We start from the raw sequence: 25,332 nt of genomic DNA on the forward strand, positions 1-25,332 counted from the left end.
CCCCCACTTTTCTTTTTTGAGACAGAGTTTCGCTCTTGTTGCCCTGGCTGGAGTGCAATGGTGCGATCTTGGCTCACTGCAACCTCCGCCTCCCTGGTTCAAGCAATTCTCCTGCCTCAGCCTCCCAAGTAGCTGGGATTACAGGCGCAGGACCCCATGCCTGGCTAATTTTGTATTTTTAGTAGAGACGGGGTTTCTCCATGTTGGTCAGGCTGGTCTCGAATTCCCGACCTCAGGTGATCTGTCTGCCTCGGTCTCCCAAAGTGCTGGGATTACAGGCATGAGCCACCGCACCCGGCCCCATGTTCCCCACTTTTACAAGTGGCCTGATGTGTACCCAGCTACCACCTTCAACATCAAGATCATGCTGTTAATTCAAGAATAGACTTGGTGTAAACATATGCATAGCATCGTTTTTAAAATACTTTTAGACTTTACACATCCCTAATTAACAATGAGCAGGATTTTGGCTTTTAATGCTATTTTAGAATATTGCTAATGTATAGTAGAGCATTTGGAAAGTCTGTGTAGCCTAATTTTAAACATGTAAGTCATGGTATAATTTTTCCCTGATTAATAAAGAGGCTTGTGTTTACTGAGAGCTAATTGCACACCAGGCATTGTTCTAAAATGGTGCTTCTCAATTATCTGGGGTTAAGAATAGGTTTTATTTAATTATTTTAAATTTTCAATCCATTGCAAACTAATAAGTAGTTCTACTGTGCATGGCTAATGTGCTACTCACACCACACATGCCTCATTATCCAGGTTCAACAAACTCTTGGCTGCTCCACAAGGAGTCCCCCAATCATGAGTTTGGATGTCATGGCAAAGTCAAAAGCCTATAAAGGTTTCTAATGGCTTTCCTGAAATTCCTGTACTTATTGTGGCCTGAGGTTACGAACAGTTCATGGCCTGGCACTAGCCCACAGACCATGCTTTGAGCGTCACTGTTGTAGAGTACGTCCTTCATATTTCATCCTCCCAACAGCCCTCTGAGAAAAGTACCACCCCAACCTCAATTTTACAGAAAAAGAAATGGAAGCATAGTGTGCTTCCCAACACAAGGGCCAACAATTAACAGGTAGTAGAACTTGGACTCAAACCCAGGCAGCCACTCCCACTGCACAGAGGAGCCAGCATTCGGACCCAGGAAGGTGGACTCCAGAGCTTGGGCTCCTTCTCGTGTGTGCTTGTTTCATTTTAACTCTATGTAAAGTAAGAACAGTTCGGTTTAGGCCATGGTGAGGACCTCCTGAAATACACCTTCTACAGTTTACAAACCTACCTTCATCCACATTTATCTTACTCTCCTCTCATGATGGAAGAAGGGACCTTCTTACTATACAAACTCAATGCATTTCCCTCTAGGTCCTAACCTTTCTGTTCTGTTGGATGCTCTTGGTCCACCAATCATCCCAACCAAAGCAACTGTGCAAGTTCAGGAACTATGTCCATTTTACAGATGAAGCAGTTGAGGTTCATAGAGACAGAAACTTATCCAAGCATGTAACCAAGGATACATGGCTATAGGGTGGCCATATCCCCATTTGTCAAGGACAGTCCCAATTTATTGCCCTGGCACCATGGCTGGTTAGTGCTTTCTTTTCACTCTCAAAAGTCTCCGACATCGGACAGCATATACTTTGATCACCCAACATTGCTAGGGAGTAGCTAAGACAGAATTGGCTGCCAGATATATGGGATTGACCCCCAAACTAGGGATCTTTCTACTACCCCAGGATACTCCCTTAAATCTCAGAATTACAGTTTAAAGGAAGGCTTCTTCCCAGTCATTATCCATTCACTCAGCAAACATTTATGAGCACCCACGATGTGACAGACATTGTGCTAGAAGATGCAGATTTTAAAATCAACAGGGCATGGTCCAAGTCCTCAGAAGCTCATGGTTTAGAGAGGAAACAGAACCACAAATACTCAGGGCAGCATATATAATTTATAGATCCCAGTGCAAAATACAAAAGCAGGGCCCTTTGTTTAAAACTTCAGAATATCTAGATGGCGAAAACAGGGCATTAAACTAAGTGCTGGGTCCTTCTAAGCAGGAGTCCTGCACACTGCAGACCCCAGCTATGATTCATTGTAATGAGGGGTGCTCAGGGTATTATCGACATACATAGGAGTTAGCCAATCCGAAGACTGCTCGTAAGATCACTTCCTGGAATAAATGAACACGGCTGATTTTAGAGAATAAAGACAACGAGGATATTTCCCCTGCATGGACCTTCTCTTCTCTTTTTCAGGTCATAGGTTGTTGAAGACAATCACTTCATCAGCCATCTCCTGTCAACTGGCAATTCATTTTGACTTAAATGCCAATCACCAGGAGTCTTCTGCCACTGAACACCTCAATAATCTCCCTCCAGAGCTGGAACATACACTGTGGTGGACATGGAGATGTGCCACCCATCACCCCCTTCAAGGACTTGTCCCAGCTTCTGGAGGTGTAGTTGCTGGGCAACCTTCTGCTGTCACCCCTTTTGGGGACAGCCCTCATGCAATGACTAATCAAGGTGGAGGGAGAAAGCCCTGGCCATTGGCACACAGGACGACCCTCATGGACCATTTTAGCTCCAGGGTTCCTGGTGGGATCAGCTGGTCTCTCTGGCTAGCACTCCAGCTCAATTTCTCCATCCACCCAATCCTGCTTCTTCCCTCTTCATTCCACAAGGATTAATTCCAAGGGTAACTCTGTAATAAACATCCGGAACACCAAACTCCATCTCAGAGTCTGCATCCCAGATAATCAAACTGCAGCACAGACCAAAGAAGCTTCTAGGGCTTGGGGAGGATTTTTACTTGAAAACTGTTAGTTATATTCGTAAGACTTATTTCTTCCCAACCCCCATCTAGCTTCTGCAGAATCATAACACTTATTTCTAAATCCTGAAATCCGATATAAAATAGTGGAAACAAGGACTCTGTATGTGAATGAATTACCCTCTGGGTTGAAAACTTCCATTTGATAAGGATCAACATATCCATTAAAACACATATAACATATTTTGTGGAAATTAAACCATGAGTTTATTACAATTTTTGAGGAAAACTATTTGTTTTTCAATCTATATTTGGGGAATAATGTAGTCCATAACTATACTATTTATCAAGTAGGGTGGAAGTATTTCATTGACACACATTTACTCAATTTTCAAAGAATGAGGATTTGAGAATTAGACCAGTTGGTGAATAAGTTGGGTTGAGCATAGACATGGCTTTTAGGATGAGCATTACTTGTTGAACATTCTTAGTTTTCTTTATTTCAGGTGATAGATTTCTCTCTTTGCTTTTAGTAAAATAAGTCCATTAGTAATGCATATCACATTTGTGGAATTATAAAGACATTATTTTGAGCTGTGATGGCCAGAATGTCATACAGTCTTCTAGGTAAAGGCAGATCTTGAAAACGCTCTAAAACAGAATTGGTTGTGGGAAGTGACTTACACATTCATTCAGGTGCAAAATCTAACATACTTCAGGGCATACATTAATCTTTTGAGAACAGGATTTGAAACAAATACCGAGATTTGAGAAGACAGGCTTCTAAAATCTCCACAGTCAAACCCTCTGAAAGAAAAACACGAATTTTCATTGCAGTACATAAGGACAAGTTAATCAGCTGATAAATTAATATTAACTCAACTCACTAAATTGAACAATACTACATAATAAATCTAATTCACTGACTCATTGAATTGATTAAAGTTGTTTCTTCACAAGACATCAACCACTTATAGTGTTATTAATAAAAGCACTTAGCATTATTTCTTCTATTGATACATAGTATATATTTTTAAAATTACATATTTATGGGATACATGTATTTGTTACATGCATAGAATGTGTAATTATCAAGCCAGGGCATTTGAGGGTATCTATCACCTTCAGTATTTATCATTTCTATGTGCTGGTAACATTTCAAGTCCTCTCTTCTAGTTACTTTGAAATATATAATGTATTGTTGCTAACTATAGTCACCCTAGGCTGCTATTAAACATTAGAACTTCTTTCTTCTACTTGTGTTCATACCCATTAACCAGCCTCCCTCTCTCACCCACCCACCCTTCCCAGCCTCTGGTATCTATGATTCTATTCTCTATTTCCAAGAGATTAAATGTTTTAGCTCCAATATGAGAGAATATGTGGTATTTGTCTTTTTGTTCCTGCCTTATTTCACTTAACAGAATGACCTCTAGTTCCATCCACATTGCTGCAAATGACATGGTTCCATTCTTTTTTTTATGGCTGAATAGTATTGCATGGTACATATATGTACATCATATAAAAAATTATTTCATCCATTGATGGACACTTAGGTTGATGCCATATTTTTGCTATTGTGAATAGTGCTATGATAAACGTAAGAGTGCAGGTATCCCTTTGATATACTGATGAAAGAAATATATGTTTCTTTTCCTTTGGGTAAATACACAGTTAGTGAGATTGCTGGTTTGTATGGTACATCTTTTTTTTTTTTTTTTAAGACAGAGTCTTATTCTGTTATCCAGGCTGGAGTGCAGTGGCATGACCTCGGCTCACTGCAGCCTCTGTCTCTCAGGTTCAAGCAATTCTCCTGCCTCAGCCTGCCGAGTAGCTAGGATTACAGATTACAGGCATGTGCCACGATGTCTGGCTAATTTTTATATTTTTAATAGGGATGGGGTTTCACCATACTGGCCAGGCTGGTCTCGGACTCCTGACCTCAGGTGATTTGTCTGCCTCAGCCTCCCAAAGAGCTCAGATTACAGGCGTGAGCCACCGCGCCCAGCCGTAAGGACTTCTATTTTTAGGTTTGTTTTTTTAGAAATCTCTATACCAGGCTGGTCATGGTGGCTCACGCCTGTAATCCCATCACTTTGGGAGGCCAAGGCAGGTGAATCACCTGAGGTCAGGAGTTTGAGACCAGCCTGGTCAACATGGTGAAACCTCATCTCTACTAAAAATACAAAAATTAGCTGGGCATGGTGGTGGGTGCCTATAATCCCAGCTACTTGGGAGGCTGAGGCAGGAGAATCGCTTGAATCCAGGAGGCGGAGGTCGCAGTGGGCCGAGATCATGCCACTGCACTCCAGCCTGGGAAACAGAGTGAGACTCCATCTCAAAAAAAAAAAAAAAAAAAAAAAAAGAAATCTCCATACTATTTTCCATAGGATTCTATTAATTTACATTCCCACTAACAGTATGTAAAAGTTCCCTCTTTTCTGCATTTTCACTAGGATCCGTTATTTATTCTCATTTTAATAATAGCCATTCTAACCAGGGGAAGGTGATATCTCATTGTGGTGATATCTCACTGTGGTTTTGATTTGAGTTTCCTGGATGGTTAGTGATGTTGAGCATTTCTCATATATTTGTTGGACATTTGTATGTCCTCTTTTAAGAAATGCCTGTTCATGTCATTTCCCCACTTTTTAATGGAATTATGTGGGTCTTTTACTATTCAGTTGTTGCAGTTCCTCGTATATTCTAGGTATTAGTCCCTTGTTGGATGAATACTTTGAGAATATTTTCTCCCATTCAACAGGTTGTCTCTTCACTCTGTTGACTGCTTCCTTTGCTGTGCAGAAGCTTTTTAGTTTAATATAGTCCCATTTGTCTATTTAAATTGCCTGTCCTTGAAGTCTTAGCCATACATCTTTGCCGAGACCAAGTCCCTGAAATTATTTTATTTATGTACCTCATCTCCTCTAATGGAGATTAAAAAATAGAAAATGAGCAGGTGGAAACTTTGAGGTGATGGACATGTTTATGACATAGAATGTGGTGATGGTTTCATAGGTGATATTTGTCTCCAAACACAAAGCATACACATTAAATATGTATAACTTTCTATATGCCAGTCATACCTCAGTAGAGTGGTTAAACAAATAGAATCCAGAAAAACCTTAGAGTTCCTTATTTTTGTACTTATCCTAAAATTGAAGAGGAAGTGAGATTTATTTTATTTATTGGTTAGAGAAAATATAGACCTTGGCTTCTCAGGTACCAAAACCATCAGACGCATCAGCTGTGATGGACCACAAAAGACAACCGTCAAAGAGCTTCTTATTTTAAGAACTCAGCAGAAGTAATTTCCTACGTGTAAATTATTCCCTTTTTGAAGACTGAAGCACTGAATCTGAGATTCTAAAGGAAAAACAAGACCAACTTTTTAAAAAGTTAACTCAGTGTGAAGTATGACACATAAAAGTGTTCAATTAATAACGATCTAATCACCACCCAGCCAAACAAAAATTTTTTTTTTTTTTTTTTGAGATGGAGTCTCGCTGTGTCGCCCAGGTTGGAGTGTAGTGGCTCGATCTCGGCTCACTGCAAGCTCCGCCTCCCAGGTTCACGCCATTCTCCTGCCTCAGGCTCCCGAGTAGCTGGGACTACAGGCGCCCGCCACCATGCCCGGCTAATATTTTGTATTTTTAGTAGAGACGGGGTTTCGCCGTGTTAGCCAGGATGGTCTCGATCTCCTGACCTCATGATCTGCCCGCCTCGGCCTCCCAAAGTGCTGGGATTACAGGCATGAGCCACCATGCCCAGCCACAAAAAGTATTTTAAGTATCGTAGAAGATTCATGTGTATTTCCCCTAATTACCAACACCTTCCATCTCCCCAAAGTTATGAACTGTTCTGGTGTTGCACTCCTTTGTTCAGCTGTAACATTTTTGAATTTTATATAAATGGGATCATAAATAATCTTTTGGGCCAGGTTTCTTTGGAATAAATATCATGTCTGTGAAACTCATGAGTTCTTCATGTAGTCAATTGCTTTCATTGCTGTAGAAGTATTTTAATACCTCATAATTTGTTTTCCTTCTGCTGCTGATGAGTATTTGGATTATCTCGTTTGGGCTGTTAGGAATTATGTTTCTAGGAACATCCTTGACAACATCTCTTGGTGCACATGTGTACACATTTGGAGTGCTACAGACAGATCGCAGAGTGTGCAGTTTGAGTCAATGCTGTCAAATTGTTTTCCGAAGATGGTTTTTCAATGTACTTACATGGCAGTACCTGAGAATTCCTGTTGCTTCATTGGCACTGGGTTGGTATTCTCAGTCTGTTACATTTTACACATTCTAGTGGGTGTCTAGTGGTATCTCATGGTGCTTTTAATTTGCATTTCCCTGGTAACTAATAAAGAGTGAGCACTTTTCCAGTTATTGGCCATTTGGATATTCTCTTTTGTGAAATACCCATTCAAATCTCTTGTCCATTTCTCTAATTGGGCTTTCTGTGTTTTTCTTAATGAGTTTTAAGAGTTCTTTAAGTTTATGGTACTGGTTCTCAGACTTTAGCCTGCATCAGAATCACACTTAGGGCGCTCGCTTCAGTAGCACATATACTAAAATTGTAATGATACAGAGATTAGCATGGCCCCTTAAAAAAAGTCACCCTATGGCTTGTTAAAACACACATTCCTGGCCCCCACCACCAGAGTTTCTGATTCAGTAGATCTGCGGTGAGGCACAAAAAGGTGCATTTCTAACGAGTTCCCAGGTGATGCGGTATGCTGCTGGTCCAGGGACCACACTTTGAGAATCATTATTTAATAGTGATTTCAGCGTAACAGCGGTAGATGTTTCTTGTTAGTTTTGGACAAAGTCACCTTAAAAACCAAAACCAAAAGCAAAAACCTCAACCATTTAATACTGCTCAAGCCTGAGGCATAAGCTAATACTCTTTCTTCCTAGAATGGTGCAAATGGACTTGCTTAAATAGCAACTGCTTCAAACTGTCTGAAACCCACTGAAATCTACCCGTTAGAATACTTGGTACACCTAATTTGCCAAGAGAACCGGTTGATGATAGAAGGTATCCTTTGATACTGTATTTTTCGATCTCAGGAAAACTCACTGGCATTCATCAGCAAGAACATGAGTCAGGAATCCCTTGAAGCACAGAAATACAGATCTCTGAATGGAGATGAAAACTATCATTTATTTCAATTGAATTTAGTTTCATTAAAAAATTCTATGATAACATTAAAACAGAAACAGGACGTTTATATGACTGTCTTTAACCTCAAAAGTCCAAATAAACATATAGACATTTTGAATATAGCTATCGTTTTAACAAACCTCATTATGATCACTGATGCAATTTCAGTCACCTAAAATACGAACCATGACTATTAATAAACATTTACTGTGTGTGGTTTGTTGGACTGAACATTAACCATACGTGTATTTCTAAGTACTAGGAGTTGAACAGCTACTACGGTCAATGTATTTTGGCAGTTAGCTGTGTGTGGTGTGTGCTTTTTAAGGCTTCACTCAATAAAACATCTGTTGCTCTCTGCTGATGAGCAAAAAACTTGCTATACGAAGGACAAATATATGTATACAAACAAATGCACACGTGTGCATGTCTATATACATATATGCAATTTCAGGGAGGTGACACCTTATTCTGAGAGGTCATGAGACTCCACTTCAAACCATAATAGTAAAACCTTTAGTAAACTGAACTCAACATATTACAGCCACCATCATCAGGAAAAATTAAAGACTCATAGTTCAAATAAAGTACAAAAGGTCCCAGGAAGTATTGTGGTTTGTTGATTCATTCAACAGAAAGCCCAAATGACAATGCTATTAGTGGTCAGGAGTAAACTAACCTGGACAGGCTCATGAAAATGAACCCCTGGATGCATCCTGAGAACGTACTGCATAATTATAGTCAATGCTTGCAATAATTTTCAGTTTGTCTCATCACGTTAGCAGAGCCTATTCATGCAATTTAGAAAGGATTTCAATACAGCCCAAACCAAAAGGCTTACAGTCAACAGAGGGTTAGCCTTCCATAAATGAGAAATCCAAAAAAGAATAATGCCACGTATTTCAGGAATGTCGGTTAGAGGTTTGGCCTTCTTGGGAAGTGTCACAATGCTGAGTCTAAAACTGCAACAGTTACCGTGTCCAAGTCATGCAACTCTAAAGGAGGATGGACGGTCACATTTGTGTCCTTCAGTATCAAAGCACCTTTAAGGGCTTCCATTTTGAGAAAGTAGTATTTTCTCTTCCTTCTCTTTTAGAACATATGATAAAATATTGCCCTTCTATCCTTTAACCATGTATCCATTTTTTTTTTTGATGGGGAGTAAGGGGTACACACTCCCTACTACAATGTCACAAACTTTTTCTTTTTGTTGTTCCTATTGGTTGTAACTGTACTATTTTCTAACAAGAAGCCTTCAGGGGAAATAATGGATCCTAGTTATGTCAAAGAAAACAATGAGACAAAATGGCAACTTCACAGTCTTCAAGTAAATAGAATCCCTGATATAAATGGAAATTAACATGTAATTTTGGGGGCAATAAAAACAACAACAAAAACCTGTGACAACTTTGTCCTACTCCTTTAAAAATGAGCTTTGACTCTGTAGTCTCTTAAGGCACAAAACCTGATAGACGGCATTTAACTGGTGGCCTGCACCTCTGATTTGGATTTTAAAAAACAACTATTGACATTTAAATAAAAATAAACCATTTTGTTAGAGCTGGAGATCCTTGGATAAGTTGGGAGAAATATTCAAATGAACTAGCATCTTGTATGTATAAATATTTGTTGCCAAAGTAAAAAAAAGTACAATGTGGTTTACATAGTCCAAAAACTAGTGGAAAATGCCTTCGGAACGGACTTGACATTTTGGTTGGATTCACAGTGCTGTCTCGAAAATAGTTAAGGTCGAGGGCTGTCCATTGGAAGTGTTTGTAACCATGTGGTCAGTGTGACCAATATGTGGATAATTTCTTTTGAAGTATACCTAGAAAAAAAAAAGGTAAGCATAAAAAGAATGTTTCAAAATTTTAAAGTCTCCTCCCTGAAACAATGCACTTCTGTGTCTACTTCTTCATGTGAAGCAAATCATATCCCTCACTGAGGCACAATTTAAGAACAGGGATGAATCTACTGTACAGAGAAATTAGCCCCACTAAAACCCTCAGCAGGGCTGGGCTGAATGCCAAACAACCTGTAGATCCATTTTAGTTCCGATCACTCTGATTCATAGATATGTTTTATCTCTGTATTAAATTGATAAGCGGAATCATTTTACTGACTCAAAACCTGGAGATAAATTAAAAACAGGGTGACAAAGAGGCTGGGAAATCTAGCGTCTGCATGAGGGTTTCTCATTTTCACACGTAAAATGAGCACAATAGATTTGGATGTTAATATCAAGTTGTAATCCCTATATTTTATAAACTCTGATTGACAAGCATTGAAATGCTGGCATATACGTATGAAACATCCCGGCGTTTAATTTGTGCGGCAAAGCAGTTATAGGGCCTATAGAAATGTGGTCTGTGGATAGTGGCCCACAATAATGAAAAGAGAAGCAAAAGCTTTAACAATGACTCAACCAAGCAACTTCTCTAAAATGTAAGATGATACCAAATAATAGGACAGTTCTTTGCCAAGCCTTTGAGTTCCTGAATTCTACCAATTTCTAGCTGAACTAGAAGAGATACAGGTTTTCTGATAAACGTATAATCAGAACATAAAGGAAATGAAATGCTGTCAAGTTTCTCTGTTCCACAATCATCAGTTTTTAGTAGCTGTATCGTATCTTGGTTCCTTGACAGATGCGCATAACAAAATGAAATAATGTCAAGACTTGTGAGCTCTTATCTCAAAACGTGTTTGGGTGAAAAAGGACTTCAAATGTAATTTTTTTTCCCCAAAGAAGAATGTGAAAAGTTTTGTTTGAATCTTTAAAACAGAAAATGTAGCAACTATCTGAGGCTGACACGTGTCACCTGGGTCTCTTAGTCATACGATTCTGGATCTATTTTATAAAACCTTGCTCTGAATATATTGGTGGGTGCTGTCAACAAAGTTATCACTGGAGATAATGGGATTCACGTACAAAAAAGAAAGTGCTGAGACACCTGCCTACATATTAAGTGTACTTTCTTTTTCTCTCACTTCTTGCACACTTGTTACTCCAGAAATATCATTACATATAACACACAATGTACTAAAATGTCACTTAAGGAGAAAATAAATTGTCCAATAATGCTGGAATGCCACCAGAAGAAATCTGAGGCTATTTCCATTATAATGCAAGTGTTCAAAAGTAAGACTTTTCAGGGGATAATTTCATATCATCTCCCTCTCCCACTTTTTTAAGCTAGCCATATTTTGTGTGGTTATAGATTTATGTACTCCAAAAAGGCTATTCTGTAGTGAAACTAAAAACAGCCAAAAGAACAAATAGACATTCACATCACTTTCTACTGCTTGATAGCCTTCCCCAAATAGGCTGCTTCCTTCTGTGTAACCCTCTTGATGTATTTTTTTAAATATATATAAAGAAAGTGTTGTTATTAGCAACTTTAAACCCAAATGGTCTTAGCTTCATGGTCTGAAATACTTAGTCAAAAACAAACTTCCTGTGTATATATTCTTTGATTTGACCTTTCTTTTTCTCTTCTGCTACCAGGTTTTATAACACACTATGGGTAACAGCACAGGTGAGATGAAACATCTTTTTTACAGTGCAGGTGATGAAGGGAGTTGAGATTACTGAACTACTTTTAGCAAAGCCCTCATGTTGTAAGCTATGTCTGGGATAGACAGGTCCAGTCTCAGCTCTCTCCTGGATTCACTGCTGATTCTGGAAAAATTACCTAACCACTCTCTCTACCAGCTGCCTCATCTGTAACATGAGATAACAATAGCTTACGTCACAGGAACTGATTAATGGCTACAAACTACAGGTTGAAAACCTGCTGCATTAGTGTTGGGTGTCATGATGAATGCTGCTCAGAGAAGTGGCCCCTAAGCACACAGAACGTGGAGGTATCGCCCAGCTCGAAGGATGAAGACAAAGCATTTAGGAATCCCTCTGGTGCATCTTTTATCTTTACAGAATCCCAAAGCTGTGGCTGAGACAATTTCAACTGAATGAATATGGTAACCTGGGAGGCAGAAAGGTAGAACTGAAAGATCATAGAAGATGGAGTATGAACACTTTTGAACTGGTGGCTTTGAAAACTTACTCAGGCTGGGCGTGGTGGCTCACACCTGTAATCTCAGCAGTTTGGGAGGCCAAGGCAGGTGGATCACTTGAGGTCAGGAGTTTGAGACCAGCCTGGCCAACATGGTGAAACCCCATCTCTACGAAAAATACAAAAATTAGCCAGGCATGGTGGTGCACGCTTGTAGTCCCAGCTACTCGGGAGGCTGAGGCAGGAGAATCACTTGAACCCAGGAGGCAGAGATTGCAGTGAGCCGAGACTGCAACACTACACTCCAGCCTGGGTGACAGAGTGAGAGACTGTCTCAAAAAAAAAAAAAAAAAAAAAAGTTACTCAGCTTCTTGTACTTTAGCATTTTCATGTGTCAAAAGGGGATAATAACAGCAGTTCAGAAGGACTGTGAAGCTTAAGGGAGACAATGCCATAAGCGTTCACGTTTGCGGCAAGAAGAGTATCAGGTCAGTGAGTATGGGAAACCTTGTCCCTCTTTTCCTTCTTCTCTTGAGTTTGCTCCATTATAGTTCCTCTAATGTAGGTTGAAACTAAGTTCATATTTAAACTCTAACTCATCAGTAAAGCCACCGTAACAGAGCTAGATTTTACTAAAATCAACAGAGCAATACAAGCTCCCGCACGTGGACAAAGGAGAGCAACTGGGCTTTGATTGACATTGCATTCCTAAGATACCATCTGATGTGTTGAATTCAGGCTCAAGACCCTGTCAGTTCATTTTTACTGATGTGTATGGCCCTAATTCAATCACAGTAACTCTCAAGGCCTCAAGTTCATCATTTTTAAAGCCAGTCTAATTTTGGTGTACATAATTGGCATGCATATTGTCAAAGAGTAATGGAGACTTAGAAAGGACTTCTGCTTTTAATATAATGGAGTAATGAATTTCCTCTCCTTTTCCTTTCAGAAACCACTCTGAACATCAAAGATATTCATTAATAAAAAATAAGCTAAATCTTTGTGAAATCAGGAGAGCCTGAATGGTAAAATATCATGAAGGGCTGCCATATGCAACTGGAACCAATGGGGCTGTGGCAAGGCTGAGAAGATGTCTATGAAGAGCAAGCCTCAACAATCATAGGAATTCTCCAGTTAATTGGAGGAGCGCTAAGGTATGTCAATAAAGAATCAATTAGAAACATCTTTGACTGACCTATGTACATTGGTGAGGTCCTGACAGAAGACAGATTGCAATTGCCCAATTCTGTAAGCTAAGGAGGAAGAAAGGCAAAACATGCACTCTCAATTTCACATACACACACACACCCACACACACCCACACCACACACCCCCACACCCCCCACACACCCCCACACACACCCATACACACACACCCACACACACACACACCCCCACACCCCCACACACACCCCCACACACACCCACATACGCCCACCCCCCACACACACCCACACCCACACACCCATACACACACCCACACCCCCACACACACCCACACCCCACACACACCCTCCCACCCCCACACACATACCCCCACCACACACCCATACACACCCACATCCCCTGACACCCACACACACACCCACACACCCACACACCCATACACATACACACTCACATCCCTCCCTGCATCCCCCCCACCACACACGCAGCCTCTCTGGGTCATAAAGTACTTCTACATTAAGCACAGAAAATTCCCTTTAGCCAGAAACAAGGCCCTAGCCACAACTATCCTGTAACTATCTGGTCTAGGAAGAGTTCGTTTTAGTCATAGGTGAGGAGTAGGAATAATAAAAATTATTATTATAATTTTAAGAGTAGTACAGGGCCTGGAGATTATACAAATAAGAAATGAAGTAAGATAAACACATGACAAATGTTGAGCACATAGAGTTTATGAATATAATTCATTCAAAGAAAATGCAGCAGAATGATCAGGCTGTGCATAACAGAGATACAAAAATACAGGAAAACATGGCAGAGCAACAGAAGATGCTGAAACATGAGTTGACAGTGGTCAAAAGTGAAGTGGAAAAGAAAAGTGAAAATATCAAAGAAATGGGCTAGGTGCAATGGCTCACACCTGTAATCCCAGCACTTTGGGAGGCTGAGGTGGGAGGATCACTTGAGGGCCAGGAGTTCGAGGCCAGCCTGGCCAACATAATGAAAACTTGTATCATATAATGAACATAATGAAATCTTGTAAAACTACAAGAATTAGCCAATTGTGATGGCGCACACCTGTAATCCCAGCTACTTGGGAGGCTGAAGCATGAGAATTGCTTGAACCGGGAGTTGGAGGGTGCAGTGAGCCAAGAGCACGCCACTGCACTCCAGTTTGTGGAATAGACGGAGACTCTGTCTCAAAAAAGGGAAAATAAAAAATAAAAAAATAAGTGGCATTTCTACTGAAGGCAGCACAAAGATTAGCCAATGCTGAAAAAACAGTGTGAGACACAGGATAGGATTGAGCAAACAAACAAAATAACTAAAAGTTAATAAAGAACTAAAAAGGATTAAGGAGAAAATAGCTTTACAAAATAGACAAAGGACATAAAACATATACATGATAGATATTTGTAAAGAAGAGAATATAATCAAATAAAAAAATTCAAGGATATAATTCAAGTAAACTTCCAGAAAAAAAAGAAAACTTGAATCAAAGTCTGAAAGACTGCACAATAATGTCCTAGGAAAACTAATGACCCTTTCAGCATACAAGAAAAAAGATCTGGCTGGGCATAGTGGCACACATCTGTAATCCCAGCACTTTGGGAGGCCAAGGTGGGATGATGGTTTAAGCCCAGGAGTTCAAGACCAGCATGGAAAACACAGTGAGACCTTGTCTCTATGGGGGGAAAAAAAATTAGCCAGGTATGGTGGCATGTGCCTCTAGTTCCAGCTTTAAGGGAGGCTGAGAAGGGAGCATTGCTTGAGCCTGGGAGGTTAAGGCTCCAGTGAGCTATGATTGTGCCACTGCACTCCAGCCTGGACAACAGAGCAAGACCCTGTCTCAAAAAAAAAAAAGAAAAAGAAAGAAAGAAAGAAAAAAGGCTGAGTTATGTCAAACATGGTCATAGATGTCTCCATATGAACAGACAACACGAGAAGACCTTAGAGCAAAGGCTGCAACATACTAAGTGAAAGAAGGTGTGACCCAATAATTTTATATCCACAACTTTTTAAAATTTTTATTTTTATGTTAAATTCCAGGATAACATGTGCAGAACGTGCAGGTTTGTCACATAGGTAAATGTGTGCCATGGTACAGCCACCACATTTAAATCAGAGGGGTAACAAAGATTTCAGACATGCAATAAGTCAGGGATTCTAAATTCCAAGGAACCTTTCCCTTTGAGATGGTATAGAGCATTGTTTTGCAACTTTTTTTTTTTAAACTGCCACCCACAATAATGGGTGGCACATTTCACTGTACACAGGGACTTGGTACGCATCCACTACCTATATCTGTATCTATACTGAAAAGCATTTCAAAAAATATTACCATTACTATGAAAGATACATGTTATTTTTCTTCTATTCCATTGTATTCTATTTTACATCTTAAAACACACTAGTCATGATGGACCAAATTGATTCCACAGCACCACTAGTGGGTTGTAGCCTGAGGTTTAAAAAGCACTGAAGGATAAACTTTAGCTAACTAAAAGATGGAGAAAGTATCATTTAAAGAAAAGCCAAATAACAGAGGCTTAAGTATATTTGGGGTTTGAAGGCAAATAGAAGAAAAACTAAGCTAAAATTTGGTGGTAGGATGGAGACAGAAGTGTATTTATATTGTTATTGTTTATAATGGGGAGTCAAGAAACAGCATTTAGAGGAAACAAAAGGAACACATGCAAAACAATATTCAAAGAAACAAAAATTATCTACTACAAATTAAAAGGTAAAAAGGAATACTAAAAACTGAAAGCATAACATGACAGAACTAAGACAAAACATACTTATAATCTCAATAAATGTAAATGTACTAAAATCATCTATTAAAAACAAAGGCTAAGATTAAACCTCAGAGTAAAACCTAACCACGCCATATACAGGAGACACACCTTTGGATATTCAAAGACAATCCCATATATAGCAGACAAAGAAAGCAAAGTAAAAGCACGCGACCCAGTCTAGTTTTGAACCAGTGTGGATTTAGGACCAAAACCATTACACGAATCAAAGAAAGGTGTGTTAAAATGGCAGGAAATATAATTCATAGTGGAAACCCAAGTTATGAACATCTGTGGACTGAAAACCATAGCATCAAAGTTACCAAAACAAAAATGACAGGTACTACAAAGAGAAATATGTACAGTGTGAAACTAATTCACCTCTAGATCCAAGTCACAGAAAATAGACCAATATAAATAAGGATTAATAAGAATGTAATTAACAAAGTAGAACTAATTAAACCTTATTAAACTCTATACCTTAAACAGATAACACCATCTTTTCAATGCCCAAAGAACATCTAGAAAAACTAGGACACAAAGAAAATTCCAAATGGATAGAAAGGATATGGATGACATGCAATGAAAATGAAACTGATGCGTAAAACAGAAAAGAAATGAACAGAAAAAACAAACCGCTACCACCAAAAAGTTTTAAAAACTTCCCTCTTCAATAATTTCTGGGCCAGAGAAAATTAAAATCCAAAATTGCAGAATGTATAAATAAAAAATAAACTATGAGTGAAAGCACTACATATCAAAACCAACAGAATACGAAAATTCACAGCGCTAAAATACTAAGGAAGAAAGAATGGACACAAATGCATTCAAGAAGAAGCAACGAGAAAAACCAAAAAACAAAGGTAATAAAGATAAAAGCAGAAACTGATCAACTGGAAAACAGAATATAAACTAGTAAATAAATCTGGTAAGTCATTCACCAGGAAAAAAACAAAAATAGCTAACTTAATTGGAAGTTAATTGGGAAAAGTGAAAAGTACAGAGTGGAAAAAGTATAAATACTAGGTAGCCATTAAAAAATGAGGTAACTGGCCGGTCATGGTGGCTCACGCCTGTAATCCCAGCACTTTGGGAGGCCAAGGTGGGTGGGTTACCTGAGGTCAGAAGTTCAAGACCAGCCTGGCCAACATGGTAAAAACCCATCTCTACTAAAAATACAAAAAAATTAGCCAGGCATGGTGGTGGGCGCCTGTAATCCCAGCTACTCAGGAGGCTGAGGCAGGAGAATCACTTGATGGAGACTGCAGTGAGCTGAGATTGCACCATAGAGGTCCAGCCTGGGCAACAGGAGTGAAACTGCTTTAAAAAAAATACATATATATATATATATATATATATATATATATATATATATATATATAGAGAGAGAGAGAGAGAGAGAGAGAGAGAGAGAGAGAGAGAAAGAGAGAGAGAGAGAGAGAGAGAACGCTAATAAAAAATACACATATAAAATAAAATGAGGTAACTATATGTATTGATATAATATGGAATATAATATTAAGTGAAAAACCGTAAAGAATAGCTATTATTTGTGCTCAAAAACCAGAAAAGCTATATATGCACAGATGCTTGTTTATGCACAGAATACATCAACAAAGTGGAGAAGAAGGTGCCAGGGCTGAAACCTGGCAGAGGAACTGCGTGATGAAGGGCAGGTGTGGCAGAGTGACTTACTTTTTACTTATTAAAGTTTTTTGCAAAACTATCAATGCTTTGAATTTTGTAACATGAGCATATATCATTTGGTAAGCTGATTCTTAAAAATAATTTGTAATTATTTAGTCTATAAAGCTACAAAACTTTGGATACTTCTTTTGCTATTATTGGGAGCTAAGAGTTCAGTCTACAGTCTTAAAAAAGTACTGAGCTTTTATAACCAATAGCTAGAATTCGCTTATATTTGTAAAACACCTTATATTCTTTGACTCACTTAAACATACACTATCTCATTTAATACATGTTAACAGTGAAGAAACCGGAGCAGTACTGCAATCCTGGCATGACAGGTGAGGCCTCTGAGGCTCACAGGCCTTGGGTGACTTCTGTAAGGCCATTGGCTGCTAAGTGTCTCCTCCACCTATTCAAACAGGCCCCAGGCTCCTAGGATCCAGGATGTCAGGACTTCTTGTCTATCTATCCATCCATCCATCCATCCATCCATCCATCCATCCATCCATATTTTTTTGAGACGGAGTCTTGCTCTGCCGCCCAGGCTAGAGTGCAGTCGTGTGACGTAGGCTCACTGCAACCTCCATCTCCTGGGTTCAAGTGATTCTCCAGCCTCAGCCTCCCGAGTAGCTGAGATTACAAGCATGCGCCACCATGCCTGGCTAATTTTTTTATTTTTAGTAGAGACAGGGTTTCACCATGTTGGCCAGGCTGGTCTCGAACTCCTGACTTCAAGTGATATACCCGCCTCAACTTCCTAAAGTGCTGGGATTACAGGTGTGAACCACCACACCTGGCCAGGATTTCATAACTTTTGAGTTGTATCTGGCAATTTCATGAGTGCATAAAATGGCACCTCTGTTACTCACTGGGAACCTCAAATTAGGTCGGCTTCATCAGGGAAGACAATGATTGAATTTACCCTGTGTTATGGGCTGATTTGCATCCCCCTAAATTCCTATGTTGAAGTCCTAACCCCCAAGTACATCAGAATGTGACTGTATTTGGAGAAAGTCTTTAAAGGTGTAATTAAGTTAAAATGAGGCCTTTAGGGTGGGCCCTGATCCAATATGACTGGTGTCCTTAGAGAAAGAGGTGATCAGGACACAGACATACACAGAGAAAAGACCCCGTGAACAGACCCCGTGAACATATAGCCATCTGCAAGCCAAGGAGAGAGGCCTCAGAAGAAAGCAGCTCTGCTGACACCCTGATCTCAGACTCCAGCACGGAAGTGTGAGAACATAATCTGCTGTGGGTTAAGCCAGCTAGTCTGTGCTACTTTGCTATGGCAGCCTGAGCAAACCAGTGCACCCTTCAGCTTTATGTACCTGAAATGTAATTATGCAATTTAAATTTACTTTAAAATATTAAAATACTGAGTCATCTGCAAAGGTCAGTCAAAAGAGAGACTCAGCTTTGCCTGCACCAGCATTTTCAGGAAAGCAACTCCGTGGTCAAGAATACGTGACTTGGAAGTACCTTTTCCCAGATGTTGAGTTTTCCTTCCAACAAATGAATTCTAATCTGTGAGAGCGAAAAGCTTGTTGATTTAGACTAATCCTCATGGTGTTACAGTTGTGAATGATGCATTGATATTTGATGCTTGCACATTTAAAAGGTTGACAATCTGACAGCTTGTTCTCCTAAGAGGACCAAGTGTATGCAGAAATGTCAAGAAAATATTCAACTTGGATGAGAATCAAGCTGTGTATTTCCTTATGTCTTTCTGTAGAGGAGGTGACCTGAGCCAGTGGTTAGGCAGGACTAAAATCCAGGAAGGAAATTCTGCCACTGTGTGAATTTGGGCGACTAGCTGCATCTTGGATACCAAATGAGACAAGGAGCAGCGTTTTCAGGCTTGACACAGAACGCTACTTAGGGGAAGACATCGGCCTCCCCCAGCAATCTACCTTCTGTTCTCCACGGACCAGCTCTGTGTCCACATGAAGACACATGACCCAACATCCTCATCAATACAGTAAGACTTACAGACTGCTGTGAGGATTAAGTAGAATCATACATGTAAGAACTATGTAAACAATGTAAAATAAATTATAAAGAACTATACGAACGTAAGTTACGATTAATATTGTTGAATTAGATGGAAGATTACTGGACCAGTAATTGAGATTTCAATTCTATGACCAATGTCCCTTTCTATATGTATGTTATACTTGCATTAAACATTGATTTAAAAAAAGATTCCTAATTCTGTCTCTGCTATAAATTAGTCAGGGCCCACTTACTTCTTGGGGCCTTAGTTTCCTCATCTGTAAAACAAAGGTGAACTATATTATCTTATGTTAGTTGGAACATGCTAAAATTCTATGACCTATTTCTTATTACTCCATGCCTTGATAATATATAACATATTTTTTAAATAGGTATTTTGATATATAGATAGGGACACATCTCTTTGATGTGAAATGCCTGAGGTACCAAAGAACAAAAAGGGTTTTTGAGGTTCCTGGCTCTTTTGTGACTAGATTATACAGGGAATCCCAAATGATTGATCGGGTTTTATGAGGGAAGCTTTGGCTGGGAGACACGCTAGAAGATAAAAGTATTCTGTAAATTTCAAGTATAAAAGAAATACAGTGCTTCAAGTACAGCTTCCCTCTTTATTCATACACAATGTGATTCTTATGAAAATTCAGAACACAGATTTTTGTCGATCCTAAAGCCAGGCTTGAATCCGGACTCTGCCTATAATTCTGCTAGCTATGAGATCATGGGCAATTTCCTTCCCTCTCTATGCCTCAGCCTCTTAAACAGGCATAATGAGAAGTGCACAGTGCACATCTGACACATATCATCATCATCATCATTGCCATCAGGGCTCACCACATCAATCAAATCTCTGCTCTGCTCTATTCTTTGGCTTATATTGTCAATGACTAGGGGCATGTTTAATGTATTTGTTAGTGCCCAGCGTAATACTGTGCACACAAAGGCATTTATAGAATCGTTTTGAGGATAAATGCAGGATTCAAAGAAATATCCTACAGACAGTGGCAAGGATAGTTCCTCACTTCTGTGGAGAATGAGATGAAATAGGAGCTGAAGGCAACCTAGGTTTTATTTGGATAAATCTTTAATACAGAAATACCATTAGATATGGGAACATATTTTCTTTTTCTTTTTTCTTTTTTTTTTTTGAGACGCAGTTTCGCTCTGTTGCCAGGCTGGAGTGCAGTGGCGCCATCTCAGCTCACTGCAACCTCCGCCTCCCAGGTTCAAGCTATTCTCCTGCCTCAGTCTCCCTGAGTAGCTGGGACTACAGATGTGTGCCACCACGCCCAGCTAATTTTTGTATTTTTAGTAGAGATGGATTTCACCATGTTGGCCAGGATGGTCTTTATCTCTTGACCTTGTGATCCACCCGCCTCGGCCTCCCAAACAAAGTGCTGGGGTTACAGGTGTGAGCCATCACGCCTGGTCTTTTTTTTTTTTTTTTTTTTTTGAGATGGTGTCTCGCTCTGTCGCCCAGGCTGGAGTGCAGTGTCATGATCTTGGCTCACTGCAACCTCCACCTCCCAGGTTCAAGTGATTTTCCTGCCTCAGTCTCCCGAGTAGCTGGGATTACAGGCAATCGCCACTTCACCCAGCTGATTTTTATATTTTTAGTAGAAATGGGGTTTCACCATGTTGGCCCCTATTTTCTTATTCTGTTGTCTGTAATAGATATTTAAAATATTACACACAAACAAGCAATTTTATTCTACCTACAGTGATGAAAACCTGAAAAATACAGAAAACAATGAAGGAAAATTATACCCATATTATACTGCCTATGGATGAACAGTTTTGATGGGAGCCTCACCATGTACTGCTAGAAGTCTCCTTCCACCCTAAGCCAAGAACATTGGATGTTCCTTCCCTCCCTCCATCAATACAACTCTCACCTCACAGAATTTTAAGGAAGAATTACAGGTGACCATGTGACATCTGGCTAAGTCCCTTAAATCAAACTGCAGTTATCACATCTGTAGAATGAGATACTTCCACATCACCATTGTTGGAAAGAGATCACGTAGCCTGCGTGTCTTTAATGCCTTATAAACATACTTCAAGGATTATTCAGGCTATAGCTATAACATATTATAAATTCTTGATTTGTCCTGATGGCAATTACATCTTTTTTTTTTTTTTTTTGAGACGGAGTTTCGCTCTTACTGCCCAGGCTGGAGTGCAGTGGCGTGATCTTGGCCCACCGCAACCTCCGCCTCCTCGGTTCAAGTGATTCTTCTGCCTAGCCTCCTGAGTAGCTGGGGTTACAGGCATGTGCTACCACTCCCAGCTAATTTTTGTATTTTTAGTAGAGACGGGGTTTCTCCGTGTTGGTCAGGCTGGTCTCAGACTCCCAACCTCAGGTGATCTGCCTGCTTGGCCTCCCAAAGTGCTGGGATTACAGGCATGAACCACCACGCCCAGCCTGACAACTGCCTCTTATAGAAGGTGGAGGAAGCATATGGGCTATATGGGCCTAATTCTAAACAACAAAGAATGAGGGGAAAACCCAGGTCAACAGTGAGAGTATTATGTAACAGTTTTCTTTACAAATAATAAAACAGAAACCAAAAGCAATCTAGGTAGATCTAGGTAGAACATTTTCTAGGTAGATCATTCTAGAACAATAAACAATATCCCACACTTTTTGCCCAAACTCTTAAATCTCCTGTATGTACCTCAACAGCATTTGCCTATCAATAAGAATGAAATGCAATGGGTTTGCAGAATATGAGTACTATGTGCTCTATGCCTTTTTCTATGAGAATCTGAACCCACAGAGTCTAAATGTGTAAAAAGTCTGGTCTAACACCTCTCCGCTTCTTGGGCACACGGCATGCACACATGTGTGCACACACTCGACCCCCCAACCCCTACCCGCTTCTGCCAACTCTTTGCAGACCTTACTTCAACCCGGGACGTGCCGTTAAGACCCACTCATGAAGCTTTGTCTCTGCAGGCTTATAATTGAAAAGGGTACACAGTGCTTGTTACCATACCCATGGTGCCAAATTGTGCGGAGGGAGCCGCTGAGACAAACTTTAATTACAACTCCTTGGAGCACGCTCACCTGTTTTGCTGTTTCAGTGAGGGCAGCGGCTTCTGCCTTGCCCAGTTGTTGCACCATCTTGTAAAATAGGCTCTCTTTATTTTGCAGCAAAACATACGGCTCATCATATTCTTTCAGTCTTCCTGAATCTAAAACCTGTTAATCAGCAGAAAGAAACCCATTGAAACACAATGTTTTGCAGTAACATATTATAACAGAGACAATATTTCGGAAAGGGGCAGGAGAGGGAGAGAATCTGTTTGGGTGGTAGGCCTGGATAGTATTTAAATGGTTTGATTACCCTGTTTTACGAAGCAAACAAAGGCCTAACCTGACCTTTTATTACTATAATGTTATAGGAAAGGAAGAAAATGAAAGTTCTAGACTATTATTCTGGGCACTCAGCAGTCCTGTGGCATTTTATATTCTGCCAAAGGCATTTTGGGTTCTTATCATTACTTAGTGCTTTTAACTCTCAGACTCTCAGCCTTGAGGGGTATTTATACATATGATCAGAGTTGGGAAACTTCTTGATTTAAGAAAGTCAAATTAAATTTATCTAAAAGGTAGGGTAATGTCATAAAAATCAGATGGGAGAGACCTGACAGTAAATTAATTGCCGAGCCAGTTTCATAGACTCTAAGCAATGGAAAAGAAGTAAATGCTTCTGGAATTTCTTTAAGGTTCTAGAACATGTCAGCTGCCAAGAGGGGCTAAACTCTGGATGGTGAGGTTAAGGTGCATTCTGAAATCGGCTCTGGGTGTACTTTATTATTCCGAGAGAGAAAGGCTAGCCGAAAAAGCTGTTACCTAAGCAGCTTTAGCATAATTGCTCTCTGCACAGAAGAAATCTCTAGAAATCCAATTTTCTCTTTGGATAAGACTAAAGAACCAATTAAGAAATTGAGCTCCAAATTCCTGTGATCACAGCCCACATGGCACACGGGGCAGCCCAGTCTGCATTGCTGAGGGCTGAATATCTGTTTTCCCAATCACCTTTCTTTGCTTCTTTCTCTTTCTTGAGCTGCTTGCCTTTTAGCTGCTTTATTGCTCATTAATATGTCCACTGGAAATTGAAAGAGGGAGGAAGGGGCTCTTAACTCTGCATTTCTACTTATTAGTGGCTTTGGTTAATGGTTTCAGAGGGAAGAAAGAGTCTGAACAATTGGCCCAAATGACGTACCTAGGAAAACAGTTCTGAGGTTAAGTGGCACTTAGTTCTTCAGTTAGGCCATATTTAGAGTAAATTTATCTTAAGAGAATATGCTGAACCTCCAAGCAGGACACAGGTTGTTTTTCTACATGTAGATATTGCAGTTAATTCCGTCCCATGGTATTTAATCGGACACATTTATTAAGCCTCATAAAGGGCATTTTCCTGTTAATCTTTTGTTTACTACTGTGAATCACTGCTAAGGGCAGCTTTCTCAAAAGAGTTCAAGAATAATTGAATCTGTCACATCCACATAACAATTAAAATGTCCTATAATTTGGCATGCCAATTTAGATACCCCAAATGTGTAATTTTACTTAAGCATAGCATTACAGAACATAACCACTCCTCCTGACGAGGAAGGAAAAAATCTGCAATTTAAAAATACAGGTCTCTCTAATGCTAAAGACTAAGTAAATAAGTGAACCAAATTACTTGCTAAAATGATGAAGTTTTAGTCTGCAAAAGCAACAAGTAAACTTTTAAAAATTATTCCCACAGAGTTGAGAGTGAGTGAGTTCTCTGTAAAGACTTTACATAATGTTTAATGGAAAGGAAGTCCTACTACTATTTGGTCCTTGTCCAAATTCCTACTAAATTTATTCACATTTGAGTGACTAGTAAATCTTTCCAGATTCCCTCTCATTGTCTGAAAACACATGAATGCCACTGAGACCAGGAGTTCTCAAAATTGACCAGAATCTAAAAAGGCAGAGCCAGAAAAAAAAAAATAATGTTCTCAAAAAGCATTATTATTATTAGATTAATAATAAAAATGACAGAAAGATCATTTGGTCAAAATACTTTAAGCCTTATAAATATCAACAACTTAGCAACTGCATTTTATTTGTTAGGAGAGTTTTTGAGTTTAGGGGTGATAGAACCATGACCTTAATAATTTACTAGAACTTAAAATTTTAACTTCTATAAGGTTTCACACTTAAAAAATATAAAATAAAACCGACCTCTTTAATATTTTTTTGATATGCATTAAAACAAAATATAGGCCAGGTTCAGTGGCTCACGCCTATAATCCTAGCACTTTGGGAGGCCAAGGCAGGTGGATCACTTGAGGCCAGGAGTTTGAAACCAGCCTGGCCAACATGACAAAACCCCACCTTTACTAAAAATACAAAAATTAGCTGGGCATGGTGGTGTGCAACTGTAGTCCCAGCTACCCAGGAGGCTAAGGCACGAGAATCACTTGAACCCAGGAGGTGGAGGATGCAGTGAGCCAAGATCATGCCACTGCACTCCAGCCTGGGCAACAGAGTGAGACTCTGTGTCCAAAAAAAAAAAAAAAAAACCCCAAAATCCCAAATAACCCCCCAAATATAGTATCTTATAATGAACTGGATTATTATAGCTGCAGATGAATCTGCAAGATTTGAGACAAGGCATCCTTGGCATATAAATATGACCTAACAAAGAGTATGG

At 39.6% G+C, this 25,332-nt stretch overlaps 1 protein-coding gene and 1 pseudogene across 4 annotated transcripts in view; one reads left to right on the forward strand and one right to left on the reverse strand.

Annotated features, from left to right (window-relative positions):
• Window positions 7,334-7,435, forward strand: RNU6-62P (RNA, U6 small nuclear 62, pseudogene; annotated as a pseudogene).
• ABCC4 (ATP binding cassette subfamily C member 4 (PEL blood group)) overlaps window positions 7,934-25,332 on the reverse strand; it is a 281,617-nt gene continuing 264,218 nt past the window's right edge. For all 4 annotated transcript variants that reach the window (NM_001301829.2, NM_005845.5, XM_047430034.1 and 1 more), the window contains 2 exons: window positions 22,704-22,838; window positions 7,934-9,781 (listed from right to left, as the gene is read on the reverse strand). In NM_001301829.2, coding sequence (NP_001288758.1) covers window positions 9,674-9,781; window positions 22,704-22,838 — 243 coding nt within the window. In that variant the 3' untranslated portion in view covers window positions 7,934-9,673. The remainder of the gene's footprint in view (window positions 9,782-22,703; window positions 22,839-25,332) is intronic.

Source organism: Homo sapiens, chromosome 13 (genome assembly GCF_000001405.40).
Source record: "Homo sapiens chromosome 13, GRCh38.p14 Primary Assembly".
Taxonomy (NCBI): domain Eukaryota; kingdom Metazoa; phylum Chordata; class Mammalia; order Primates; family Hominidae; genus Homo; species Homo sapiens.